The following is a 13,290-nucleotide window of genomic DNA, read 5'->3' as shown; positions in this document are numbered from 1 at the left end:
AACCATTTATTCTGCATATAACTTTGTGCGTTTCTGCTGAACATGGTGCCCGCTGGGATGGGCAGAGTGGGAGGAACCACTTTGTGCGTTTCTGCTGAACATGGTGCCCGCTGGGATGGCCAGAGTGGGAGGAACCACCTCAAAGCCTCTGAGGTGCCATCTTATCTTGTATATGGCATGTTATTACTTGGTAGTCTGTTGTTGGTTCTCTCTCAATCTCTCTCTTTCTCCCTCCGCCCCCACACCCACATGCTATCTCAACCTTAGGGGCCTTTCTCTGTATTCTTGGCTTCTCATGGAATGATGGTGTCAGGGTAGCCTTTTGGCTTAAAGAGATAGGAAGCAAATGATTCCAGACTATGGATAGTTATGCCTGCATCTAGTGCAACATCAGTTCTACTGTCTTCCATTGGTCAAAGCAGAAGGCATTTCCAGTTCAAGAGGGTACAGAAATAAATAAGAAATTGCCTCCAGGTGATATGTGCACTGAAGCTAGTGAAGAGTATTTCTGAGCATGGCTCTGGAGACAGAAAGACCTGGATTCTAACCTGACTTTGACACGAGCTAGCTGTGTGGCTTTGGGAGTGACTTCATTCGCTCAGCCATAGTTTCCTGATCTGTAAATTTGCCTAGTGTAATTCACTGATTTCATTGTGTTGTTTCTGAAAATAAAACATACACCACATGCAAATCCTATAGCATAGTGTCTAGAACATTGTGAGCAACATTAATAATAAAGGTTTAGTGAGTTAGTTGGTTCATTCACAAGACAGGTGATGGCTCTTGAGTGTGCACTGAGGCTTTATCCACATAAATGGCCTGGACTTGAATTGTGGCCACAGTTAAATTCACCAGTGTGCTAATCTGCCATGGATGCATGTACATTTTCTCACTTCAGAAGAGCAATTGTGTACTTTTCTATATGTTTAGAGGGTTGGATTGATTCCTGTATAATAGAGAACTAACTTACTGAACAGTAAACATCACACTAGCTGACAATATGCTGGAAATTGAAAACCAGTTCAGTGAAATGGTGAGTACAATTTGGGTAGTAAGACACTTGGCATTCCATGATTAGGCAAATTTCAAGTGTATGTTGTTTATAGAGACACGACCTCTATGAACTCAAGGTCAGATATTACAGGGCCATGCATTTGGAGGGAGAAAATGGAGGGCTGATCTGGTAATTGGCTAAATTGAACTAAAGGTTCAGTATGACACAGTTTTAAACTTTTTTTGTTATACTAGAATTATCATTAAAAACATTAAGCGTAGAAAATTATGAGTTAATTCTGAGAAACCTGAGTTGTTCTTAAAAAGTTTCATGCTTAACAAAAGCCTCAGAAAAGACTCTTAAGATATCTGTTTCTTTTCTGTATGTCAGCTGCTGTAGATATGAGACTGTAGCATCTGAAAAATGGGCACTGTGTATTTGTGACAATGAAAGAAGAGCAGACTGTTCAAAGATGAAAAGCACCCAAGTTCTGTTTCTCATCTTGCTGTAGTCCCTGAAGAGCTCCCGAAGTGAAGTTCTTCTTTGAAAGTCAACATATGTGAAGTCCTGTACTTAAATGTGCTCTGCACAGCTCAGAACAAAATGAGAAACAGGCCCTGGGAGAGGTCCGTTTAGAAAGATAGACTGAAGTTTTATATACTCTGTGAATTTTCTATGCGTTTTCCCTTAAGAACAAAATAACCTCTCATTTATGCAATCAATTTTCTTCTAAAGCATCAGTGCCTTATGGCTGACACGGACCTATACTTACCTATTTAATAAAGTTCCAAAGCATTCCTAATTACGTAATTTCTATTTCTTTATATATCCTCTTATCTTTTTTCCTTTTCATCTTCCTTTCTAAAATTTTCTCAAATATCTCTTCATATTTGTCTATTTCTCTTTTTTTCTGTCTATTTTGTTTTGACTGCCATCTAGTCAACTTACCCAGCACTTACCCTTGGTAATGATGACAACCAAACAATGATCACAACAATAACAACAAAAACAATTGATATTTGTTGAGTATTTACTGTGTATAGGCTACTATTTCTTTCTTCTTCCCCTTTCACCTGTGCTTTGCCCCCCTGGACAGAATATTTCTGTCTTATAGTTTGAACTGTGGGCATAAGTTTGTGTTTTTTCATGATATGTCACATTCTTATCAGAGCCATGAACATAAACTATGAGTGTACTCTCTCATTTTGTCCTCATGTTCAAAATGCAGGAGGAAGAAACCTTCTTGGAAGCAGAGGACAAATACTCCCAGTGTGTGAACACTTCATCTCAGCATCATATCTAACAGAGTCTGTTAATCCATTGTTTAATCTCATCGTTAATATTTTGTAACCAAGAAAATGAGAAAATTTTCCCTGTGCTTTATTCCTGCATAATCAAGATACCAGAATAATTAACTAGGCAGCATGGAACACCTTTTATAGATTCAGCTGAGGCTAGGATAAGCTCACTCTGTGCCCTTCCTTTTGCAAAAGTGGAAGTCTAAGCAGTGTTGGGTTGAAGGGCCCTTGATGAACACTTGAGGAAAGAGCTTCTAGACTGAATTTCTGCCATCTTCTGGATGCCCTGGATGTTGAGAATTTGTTGCAGGAGGAACTGAGCAGGGGGATACCCCTTCTTTGTGCTACTTGCATGAATGTTGGTGTTTTAATTCTTTAAAACCAGGCAGAACACTTTAGTATCATATAGGAATGAAAACTATGGAAGTGAGAACTTTGTTTTTCTCTTAGAGAGCCCAACCTTGATATTTCTGTCGTCCCTGATATTTTTATAAAATATACTCAGGAAATACATTTAGATCTCTTCTGTGCAAGTACAAATTATGGGACTAACAAGAGGTTTTTTTTTTTAACCAAAAGCTTTAAAAACTGAAACAGAGGAGGTAATAGTTTCAACAGTTTTTTGAAAATAGTACAATTAAGCCAATTCGAGAGGTTGCATTTTCTTTGCTGTTGCCTGGGCACAATCCACTTCTCCATGAAACTTTTATCTTAGCTGTCAGGACCAGACATAAGTGCAACTCAAGCAATTTGTATTCCAGGCAGAAACACAAATTCATCTTTAAGGAGTCAGAAAATGGAAGGAAGCTGCAGTGAAGGCACCCTAAATGAAATGAACAAGAAACCACGTGGGATGCCTCTTAACACACAGACTTGCTTGGGACCAACCACTGCCATAATTGATCCCTTTGGAGGCTGAAAGAGCTTTGCTTGATTTCAAACCAGGGAAAAAAATGGATGAAGGGAGATGGAAATTAACATGAATTCTATGAGGTGTTTTCTACTTGTTACCTTTACTTTAACCAATGAAGCCAATATAGTTATCCAACATTTACAACCAGTGAAGTCATATTGTCGCTAGGTAGTAGAGGTGGAGTTTGAAGCCACATCTGCCTCTGAAGCTTGTGTTTATTCCACTACATCTTGTTGGTTTGCTGAGAAATGAGGTGTTTAGAATTTCTTCCTTAAAAACTGCAGTCACTATAACATAGAAGCAGGTAATTTTCTAGCTCTAGTTGGAGCCTAGAGTAGTTCTCACATTTTAAATGTATGCATGTAACCCAATATATTAGGCTTATTCATTATTAGATAAACATTTAAATTGGACTATATCGTACCTAATTTTGCTAACACATATAAGCTTGAATTTTAACTTTGTTCCTGTATGATTTATTATCCTACAGAAATTTCATGTTTTAAAGGCATTTTTAGGGTGGTAGTGTTTTAGATTCAGTTATTGTTTTAGGTGTGTCATTTATTGCATCAGAAATTCCCACCTAGTGGAAACTTGGCAGCCCCATCCAAGGTCTACAGAAGCTGTTAGCTTGCCTGCGCGGCCCTCTACTCTGAGTGAGCATGGGGTTTCTACTCTTAAAAAATGGTTCATCTTCACTTTGGTCCACTCGGATTTATGATGTAACCACCCAAATAAAGGAGTACGGCTGTTCGCTAGAATCTGTGCCAGCCCCTATCCAAATCATGTGGTTCCTCTATAATGATGACCTGTCACTTAAAATGGGATTTTGAATGAGTGCATCATATAACTGAATTACCGTGTTGCAAACAGCTTATTTTCTCCAGATCTATATTCCAAAAAAAAAAAAAAAAAAAAAAAGTGACACAATAAATAACATGTTAGAAGCCCTAGCACCTTGACTTCATTTTTGGCTTTATCACAGTTTGCATATGATTACAGATGGTAGAAAATTAAAGTGCCCAGCTTTCCATTTTTTTTGACGATTATCATCTTACGTGCGCAGAAAGGGACTTACTAAGACACCAACACTCCTCTCCTCTGCACGTCATGAGAATGAATCAAGGGCATGGGAGTTAATCTTCAAGGCTGAGAAAACCTGGGCAGCTAAACCTGTTTACAGCATCCCTGGACTTTAGACTTCTTGAAGCACCTGAGTTTGGAGCTGTGGATGAGTTAATATTAAAATATGGTGTGATCTGTCAGCCTATGTTGTGATAAACTGCTGTTGGATGAATTGACAAGCAGTCTAAAAGCTTCATTTCAGGAAAAACTCCAGTAACCCTCATCTATTTTAGCAACTCAACATTTGGCATTTGGACTTACTGGATACTTAACCCTCTGCTTTTTATAGCTTCCTCTTTTTATGTATTATATTGTTTCTATTAGGAAATCATTCTTTATGAAATTATTCTGTCTAGAGGAGACTTCTTTTTCACTTTTTGTCATTTCAAACTCACAGATGGGCAGATTAGAGACGGGAACAATTTGCAGTGCTCACTTTCTTTTTTGGCATTAGAATTGAGCTAGCTGTGGTTTGCATCTACTGCTTTTTTTTCTATAGGTGATAATAGACATACAACATTAAAAATTCTAATGTTTGTTTTCAAAAATATTCTTTAAAAGCCAGTTTTCTACCACACACATAGAACAACACTCCCTAGAGTCAAAGAATCATCATGCTGCTTTTCAGAACCATTTATAGTGTGATCTCTACTGTTTATCCCTACCCCTTCTTCCAAATTTCCTACACCTTAAGTCACTGTTTGCCTGATCATCGCCGTAGGTCCCCATACCTCATTTCTCCATCAATACTAGTACATCTTCCTGAGAAACAAATCTGATCAAGCTAGTCCCCTGAAATACCCATGAGGATCCCCTTTGCCTATAGGTTATTTTCAAACTTCATAGCTTGACCTAAAAGTCACTCATCAACTGGCCACAACCTGCCTTTCTCTGATTTTTCTTTTGTTTTTATGTCATTATATTTTGGTGGCTCTTAGAAATGCATACAAACTAATAAGCTAAAAATGAAAGAAGAAATGAATCAAATCAAAGGGATAGATGATATTTTATTTTCCCTTTTACTTTGCCAAGTAGATGAAATTGCCCTGTCAAAGTGGTATGCAAGTCATTGCTATGTTGATGGAGGCAGCCAAAGGAAATTTTACATGAGTGCTCTGTAATTAAATAGATATGAGAATTTACTTGCCCATTTTCCCTTCTCAAATCCTGCTTTCTGTCTTGGAATCCTGTTGATGGTGTAGCATAATTTACATGCAGATGTTTAAGTTTTTATTAGGATAATATCAGCATTATTATGCAGGCATTGCTTTCACAGAAAATGAGGAAATATATTTTAAAACTTGAGAAGTTTAGAAAAAATGTTGGCAGTTTTGATAGGATTCCAGCAGAACCAGAAGTTAGATTAGGCTAGTTGGGTCTGATGTAGATGCAGGTAAAAGCAAGCCATGGTATTTGATGGGTGGACATAATCCATATGGGGCAGGGAATTTTAAGCAGTGGCAGCAGCATAAAAATGCATGAAAACTGAAAAACAGTGTATATGTTTATATTATTGTAAGTAAAAATGGGTAAAAAGAAAATCATCTGGAAATAGAAATCAATATAGCCAGCCATGGTCTTGAGGACAGTGCATATATAGAGAATCGAAAATTTCAGGGTAAGAGGTCTGAAAATCATTGAGTGGGCAACGGGATGCTATCGGAAGAGACTCTAAAAATTTAGTTTGAACTGCTCCTTATACATATGGGTGGGTAGGATGCTGCCTATCTGGATTTATCCTGAACCCAGTGGTTTCTAGGATAAAGTGAAAAATTTTGCAGACTTCATATTCCATCGGTGGGGATCTCCACTCTGAAGAGAAATGGAATCTGCAAAATTCGACTCTTGAATAAACAAGCTTGACAATTAACTGACACAAATGTAAATTCTACCTGAGATGATGCACCTGTGTGACTTTGCCAGTGAGCCCATCATCTGTGTTTTCATTCATAAAATGAGCAAGTAGGAGTAATGCATGTGGGATGTGACTAGATCACAATATTACAATTGAGGGGCACTGCACAGTTTAAAAAGCTGGTGTCAGAAGCTTCCTGGGAGCTTTCTTAGGCAAGCAGAAAACCAAGGTTTTCAAGCATACATTTTCTGAAGGAGGAGGTCATTGGTGGGAGGCTGGGCAACGGCCCATATTTACTACCTTGATAGCTTTTATAATATGTACTGTATTAATTGGTTAAAGTAATGGAAATAATAATTTGTGTTAAAAATTTGGAAACTGCAGGATAAATATTAAAAATAAAACAAAAATTGTATGTAACCCAACCATCCAGCGATAATCACTGGTAACATTTTGGTGTGTACATATACATATACATATACATATACATATACATATACATATACATATACATATACATATACGTATACATATACATACACACATACATATATGAGAGACCTTATGCAGGTCAGCTTACTTCCTGCATAAGCAACTTCCTGCATAAGCATCATAATTTGAGTATTGACTGAAAATTTTACCCTATTATAAAATCAAAGGTTGGAGCATGCCATTACACTGCTATAAATAATGCTGTGATAAATATAAATTCTTTTGTGTATTTCTTTGCTGCTTTAAGGTGAATTCTAAGACGTGGAATTTCTGGTTCAAATAGACAATTTTAAGGATGTTAATGAACATTTGCAAATTTCCCCCCCAGGAGGTTTCTATAATTTACATTCCTCTATTTCCCATGTGCAGGTTCATCTTGAAATTTGAAGGATAATTACTTAATGGATTAATTTATAAGTTCTGTGGATGTGCAATGGCACTGTAAAGTATTAAGCCTCAGGGCTGGGTTGTTTGCTCTGCCTAGATGCAGACGCTCACTTCCTTTCATATTTTGGAAATATTCAAGTTGATGCTTAATAGACGATAAATAGCATGCATCATACCTTTCGATTAAACATAAAGCATTTAGTCTAACTCCTGAAGGTATTGGAAAAATCAGCAAAGCATATGAAAATACTTAATCTAGCTAGTTACACATTTATAATGTAAGAGGTAGTTTTCATGTGTTTATTAAAGTGGAATCAGATTGCAGAATTCTCAATAATTTAAAGGAAATGTTTCCATGGAAGGCACCATATGCTGCCATCTGAATTTTGTATGTTTTACTAATTTAAGGGGAAAAATCTTAAGAGCTACAGGCAAAGCACAGTTGAGTGTAACATTTATGTTGTTGGCTCATTCAAGCAATGTGTCCTTATAGGCACAAAATAAATATTTTTGAATTAAGTTTTGAAATCTAGGAAGAACCCAAAAGGACAAGGCCCTCTTTCTGAATTGGAAAAAGAATGCAAAGGGAATGCAATCTCTTTACAGAAAATGGATTCTGTGGGGGATGTGACTAACTCTTAGGATTTTTTTTCTTTTTTGGTGTGATAGTACCTATAGACTGTACTATTGGTCAGGAATACCTCATGACTAGATTGATGAATTTGTTCAGTCGTATGACAAAATTGCTACTATTCAGGAATCACTGCCATACAGGAAAACCCTAGAGTATCCGAGGGAGCAAATAAATACTTTCCTTCTTTCTGTTGACAACATTTGGCAGCAGAATTCTGGAAATTGTGGTCTAGAGTGAAGAGTCTCTATTGTTTAAATACTGGATTTTAAACATTTATTATGTGCCTAACTATTAGATTAATTAATAGGCTGGATTTTTGTAAGCATGCCTTGCTGGATTTTGAGGGTCTTAAGAATATATGCTTCAGTTGGAAACTGAACTCTTGTTATTTCCAAGGAAAGTGGAGCGATCACATGCACATAACACTTCCAGAGCTGTACTTCTGCATTGCAAACTGTCAATCAATGTTAGTTGTTTTGATTTACAAGTAATAATACTTATTGTTGATGTTGCTTGGTTGTTTCATTATTATTGCTGTTATTATGATTAGGAAAGTAGAGTCAACTCTTCTATCCTTTTGGAGAATTGCTGACTGATAGAATTTAAGAATGTTAATTAATATTTGCAAATTGTCCCCCAGAAGGTTTCTACAGTTTACATTCCTCTATTTCCCATGTGCAGGTCAATCTTGAAATCTAATAATTACTTAATGGATTAATTAATAAGTTCTGTGGATGTGCAATGGCACTGTAATGTATTAATGCAAATATTTACATTAATTAATGTAAATAATTAATGTATTTATCGTCTATTAAACAGGTTAGGGAACTACTTCAAATCAGGGCAGGGGAGAAGTATCTGTGGAGCATTGTTCTAAGAAATTGTATTATGTTAAGATCTACAGCAATAGGCCTCCTGCTGTCTCACTCCTCCAAATAAAAATAGCAACGATAATAACAATAACAACACCACACTGCCTCAAATGTTGCTTCTCCCACTGGCTATTGGAAACATGGAGGATGCTTCTCTGGGATGGTGTAATCAGGGGGTTGCCGCACCATCTCTTCGAGTTTATCTTCCTGAAACTAGGGCCAATACCCAATATTTTCCTGTTCCTATTTTTCCTTCATGACAAGAAGAAGTTAGGCTCCCCAAAACAGGAAAGGTAGGCACATAAACACAAGTATATTATGTAATCTCTGAAAGTAACCCAAATGTCCTCATTCTCTTCCCTCTAAATTTTAAATTATGTAAAATAAGGAAATACCTAGATTCTAACACCACATCTGTTGGGGTTGTCTTCCTCTTTAAAGGGTAAACTAGTCTTTGGTTTTATGTAACATTTAGAATGATTGCTAAAAGGACATCTGTGGAATTATTTCTCTAACAACCCCCTTTTTTGCCTACTCTTTTCTCAATGAAATTTCGGTGTAGCTATTTTAGTGATGTCATTTTCTTACATGACCTTGTTCTTCAGGATAAATTTTCTGATATTTGGAGAAAAATGGTCTGCAGTGGGAGAGAAGGAATCCAATATGAGAAAGACACAAAGAGCACAAAGAAAAGAGAGAAAGAGAAAGGGACGTGGGGGGTGGGGGAAGAGAGAGAGAAATTTATGACATTATGACATTCATGATCCTGGTTCTAGCCCTAGTTGTTCCTGAGGCCCAAATAAATCCCCAATCTTACTAGTTTTTGATTATTCAACCCTACCTTGGATTCCCTGAGTGAACCAACTTCCTTTGGATGTTTAAGCTGGTTTGGGTTTGCCTTGGATTTCTAATAGTGCAACAAAATGAGTTCCGACTTCTCACTGTCACTATACTCTCTGACTCCTCCTTGACATTCACATTCAGGCTCTTGTGAGACTGAGACTAAGAGTTGTCCATCACATGAGCTGTACTTATTCTGTCAAGCATTATACCCAACACTCCCAGCCCAAAAGACTGATTGGGCTCATTACAGTACAACATGAGATGTATATTATTGATCAGTTCAGCCCTTGGTGCTGGCAGAGTTAAGTGCCCTAATTCAAAGAGCACTGCTTATCCAAAAGAGAAGTCACACCCTAACCTAGTCTATATTTCAAAAGCTGAGAGGCTATATATTCCAACAAACGATCATATGTTATATGTGCCTTTTGATTTCTGCCAATTCTCCATTTACTTATTATTCTCTTCCATTGGTCATATGGCAATAGCACTAGCAGTTTTTCCCCCTTTAAGGTAATTATTACTTCCATAATTTAGATGAAAAATTGTATTTCAAATTAAATTTAAAACCCATAGGTCAGGTCAGGTATTGAAATTTGGAAGTATCTTAAATTAAGTCTGCTGGCGATGTGATTACTTTGGGTTTGGAATCCTTTAACGTACTCAAGTTAACTATCCATATTTTCATAGTTCTTAGCTATAGGGGCTTCATCTCTGTTTTGCTAATATAATAAGTATTCAGGAAAAAGTGATGAATTAAGTAACAGCTTCATTTTATGTATGTGTGTTGTTTTTTGCCTAATCATCTAAATAGCTGGCTCCTCGATTCTCTATCTTGACCTGTACAAATAAAGCAGGCACTGCAGTTTGTTAGATGTGTTAAAATGCAGGGCTGGGTCTAATGTGTGGTGAGTAAGACAGCTAAGATGCAAAATTTAAGGAGACAGTCACTGTTAGGATCATATAAGGCATCTCTCTTGCCTCACCCTCATATTGACCCTGTTGAAATGCTATGAGCTGGTTTAGAAGTACACAGGCATCAAATTAGAAAATTAGACAGCATAGTACCAACTCAGGGATTAAAAATAAATCAGAAAAAAAACCCCAAGAACTGATTCTTTAGCAGAGCTGCTAGGTTTACCTCCTTTCCTCCAACAGGAAGTGCATCCACCTACAGTGTCCAGCACAGGTCTGTCCCCAGAAGTATCACATGACATTAGAAAGAGCACCGACACTCAAGCTGATGTCCTCAAGTGAGTTATTTTTGACTCTGCAAAATGAAAATACACAGATGATCTCCAAGGTCCTTTTCAGCCAGGTGGTTCTGAGTCTAAGAAATGTCTTAAAAAAAAAAAGAAGAAATGTCTTCATTGGTGGCTACTCATCATCAGGTTTTTGATTAGTTTTGGGGGCAACACAGAGGAACCTGCTCTGGGTAACTGTGTGAGTGAGGTTTGCTGCCAGCCTATCCTCTTTATTTTGGTTCCCTTCTTCTTGTTAATGCCTCTTTCAGCTCTTTCAAACTTCAGATGCCTTTGTGGGCTCCTTATTCCGTTACTCTTGCAAGGGATCTGAGTCCCGTTTTCATCAGTATAGACATGACAAATGACAATTCGAACTTGTATTTATCTACAAAGAATATACAACTTGGAAGGCAGAAGTAAGTTATTAATCAGTGGATGGAGTGGTGGGCAGATTGGACATGGATTTAGGACAGGTAAGCTCAGGGCATGCTGGCTCAAAGTTTAGCTCAAAATGATAGCAATTTCTTTTTTCTTTTTTTTGACTGGATCTTGGTCTGTCACCCAAGCTGGAGAGTAGTGGTGTAATTATGACTCTCTGCAGCCTCGATCTCCCAGGCTCAAGGGATCTTTCTGCCTCAATCTCCTGAGTAGCTGGGACTACAGATGCATGCCACCATGCCAGCTAATTTTTTGTATTTTTAGTAGAGATGAGGTTTCACTATGTTGCCCAGGCTGATCTTGAACTCCTGGGTTCAAGCAGTCCGCCTACCTCAGCCTCCCAAAGTGCTGGGATTACAGGCATGAGTCACACCTGGCAACTAGCAACTTTCAATGCAAGGACAAAGACTAGATCCCCTCTGACCCAATCCCAAGAAATGGCAATAGAGCTCTGGTAGCCAGAGAGGTAAGGCTCACCTCAAATCTCCACAGGGATTTGTAGTAGCTTACTGGGAGGAGAGCTGCTAAGACCACCATATTGTCTCATGTTTTGACAATATTGTATTCAATTTTAGCTCTACTTTATGCAGTTAAATCTTGTTGGCAGGATTGCATCCTTTTGTGTGGCTGAATTACATTTTATTGTGTATATATACCACGTTTAAATCCATTCATCTGTTGTTAGACATGGGTTGATTCCATATCTTGGATATTGTGAATACTATTACAATAAACATGGGGGTGCAGATGTCTCTTTGATATACTTATTTCCTTTCCTTTGGGTAAATGGCCACTGGTGAGATTGCTGGAGAATATGGTAGTTCTATCGGTAGTTTTTGAGCAACCTCCATACTGTTCTCCCTAGCTGTGCTAGTTTACATTTCTACTACAAACAAGTTCCTTTTTCTGTGCATCTTCGCTATCATTTGTTATTTTCTGTCTTTTTAAAAAATAATAGCCATTCTAACTGAGGTGAGATGATATCTCACTGTGGTTTTGATTTGCGTTTCCCTGATGATGGCGATGTCGAACATTTTTTCATATATTTGTTGTCTATTTGTATGTCTTCTTTTGAGAAATGTCTGTTCAGGTCACTTGCTAATTTTTAAATCAGACTGTTTAGTTTTTTTCTATTCAGATGTTTGAATTCTTTGTATATTCTGGATATTAATTCTCTTTTGAATGAATAGTTTGCAGATATTTTCTCCTCTTCTCTAAGTTCTCTTTTCATTCTGTTGATTGATTCTTTTTCTGTGCAGAAGCTTTTTAGTTTGTTTTAATCACATTTGTTTATTTTTGCTTTTGTTGCCTGTGCTTTTGAGGTCTTACTCACAAAATCTTTTTCCAGACAAATGTTTTGAGGTGTTTTTCCTATGTTTTCTTTTAGTAGTTTTATAGTTTTGGATCTTACATTTAGGTCTGTAATCCATTTTGAGTTTATTTTTTATAGGGTGAGAGGTGGTGGTCTAGTTTCATTCTTCTGCATATGGATATCCAGTTTTCATAATACCATTTATTTACAAGACTATCCTTTCTTTAATGAATGTCCTTGAGGCCTTTGTAAAATTTCAGTTGGCTATAGATGTATGGATTAATTTTGCGGCTTTCTGTGTGGTTGCATTGGTCTATGCATCTGCTTTTATGCCAGTATCATGCTCTTTTAGTTACTATCGCTTTGTAATATATTTTGAAGTTTGGTATTCTTCCAGCTTTGTTCTTTCTGCTCAGGATTACTTCGGCTATTTGGAGTCTTTTGTGGTTGCATACGAATTTTAGGATTTTTTTTCTATTTCTGCGAAGAACGACACTGGTATTTTGATAGTGATTGCATTGAATCTGTAGATTGCTTTGAGTAGTATGATCATCTTAACACTATTAATTCTTCCTATTTGTGAACATGGGAGGTTTTTCCATTTGTTTATATTCTCTTCAATTTATTTCATTAGTATTTTATAGTTTTCCTTATAGAGATCTTTCAACTCTTTGGTTAAATTTATCTCTAGGTATTTTATTTTATTTTAATTTGTGGTAGCTATTGTGAAAGGATTGCTTTCTTGAATTCGTCAACTAAAATAATAAGCAAGATGAGGTCATATGTCTCTTTTCTCACCTGGCACAATGCCAGGCAGGTAGCATGTGGTCAATATTTGTTCACGTTCATTGAATGTCATCATGGTTGATATGGTTTGGCTGTGTTC

The sequence above is a fragment of the Homo sapiens genome, chromosome 2, assembly GCF_000001405.40.
Source record: "Homo sapiens chromosome 2, GRCh38.p14 Primary Assembly".
In the NCBI taxonomy this organism is placed as follows: domain Eukaryota; kingdom Metazoa; phylum Chordata; class Mammalia; order Primates; family Hominidae; genus Homo; species Homo sapiens.
Note: the sequence above shows the minus strand (reverse complement) of the source record.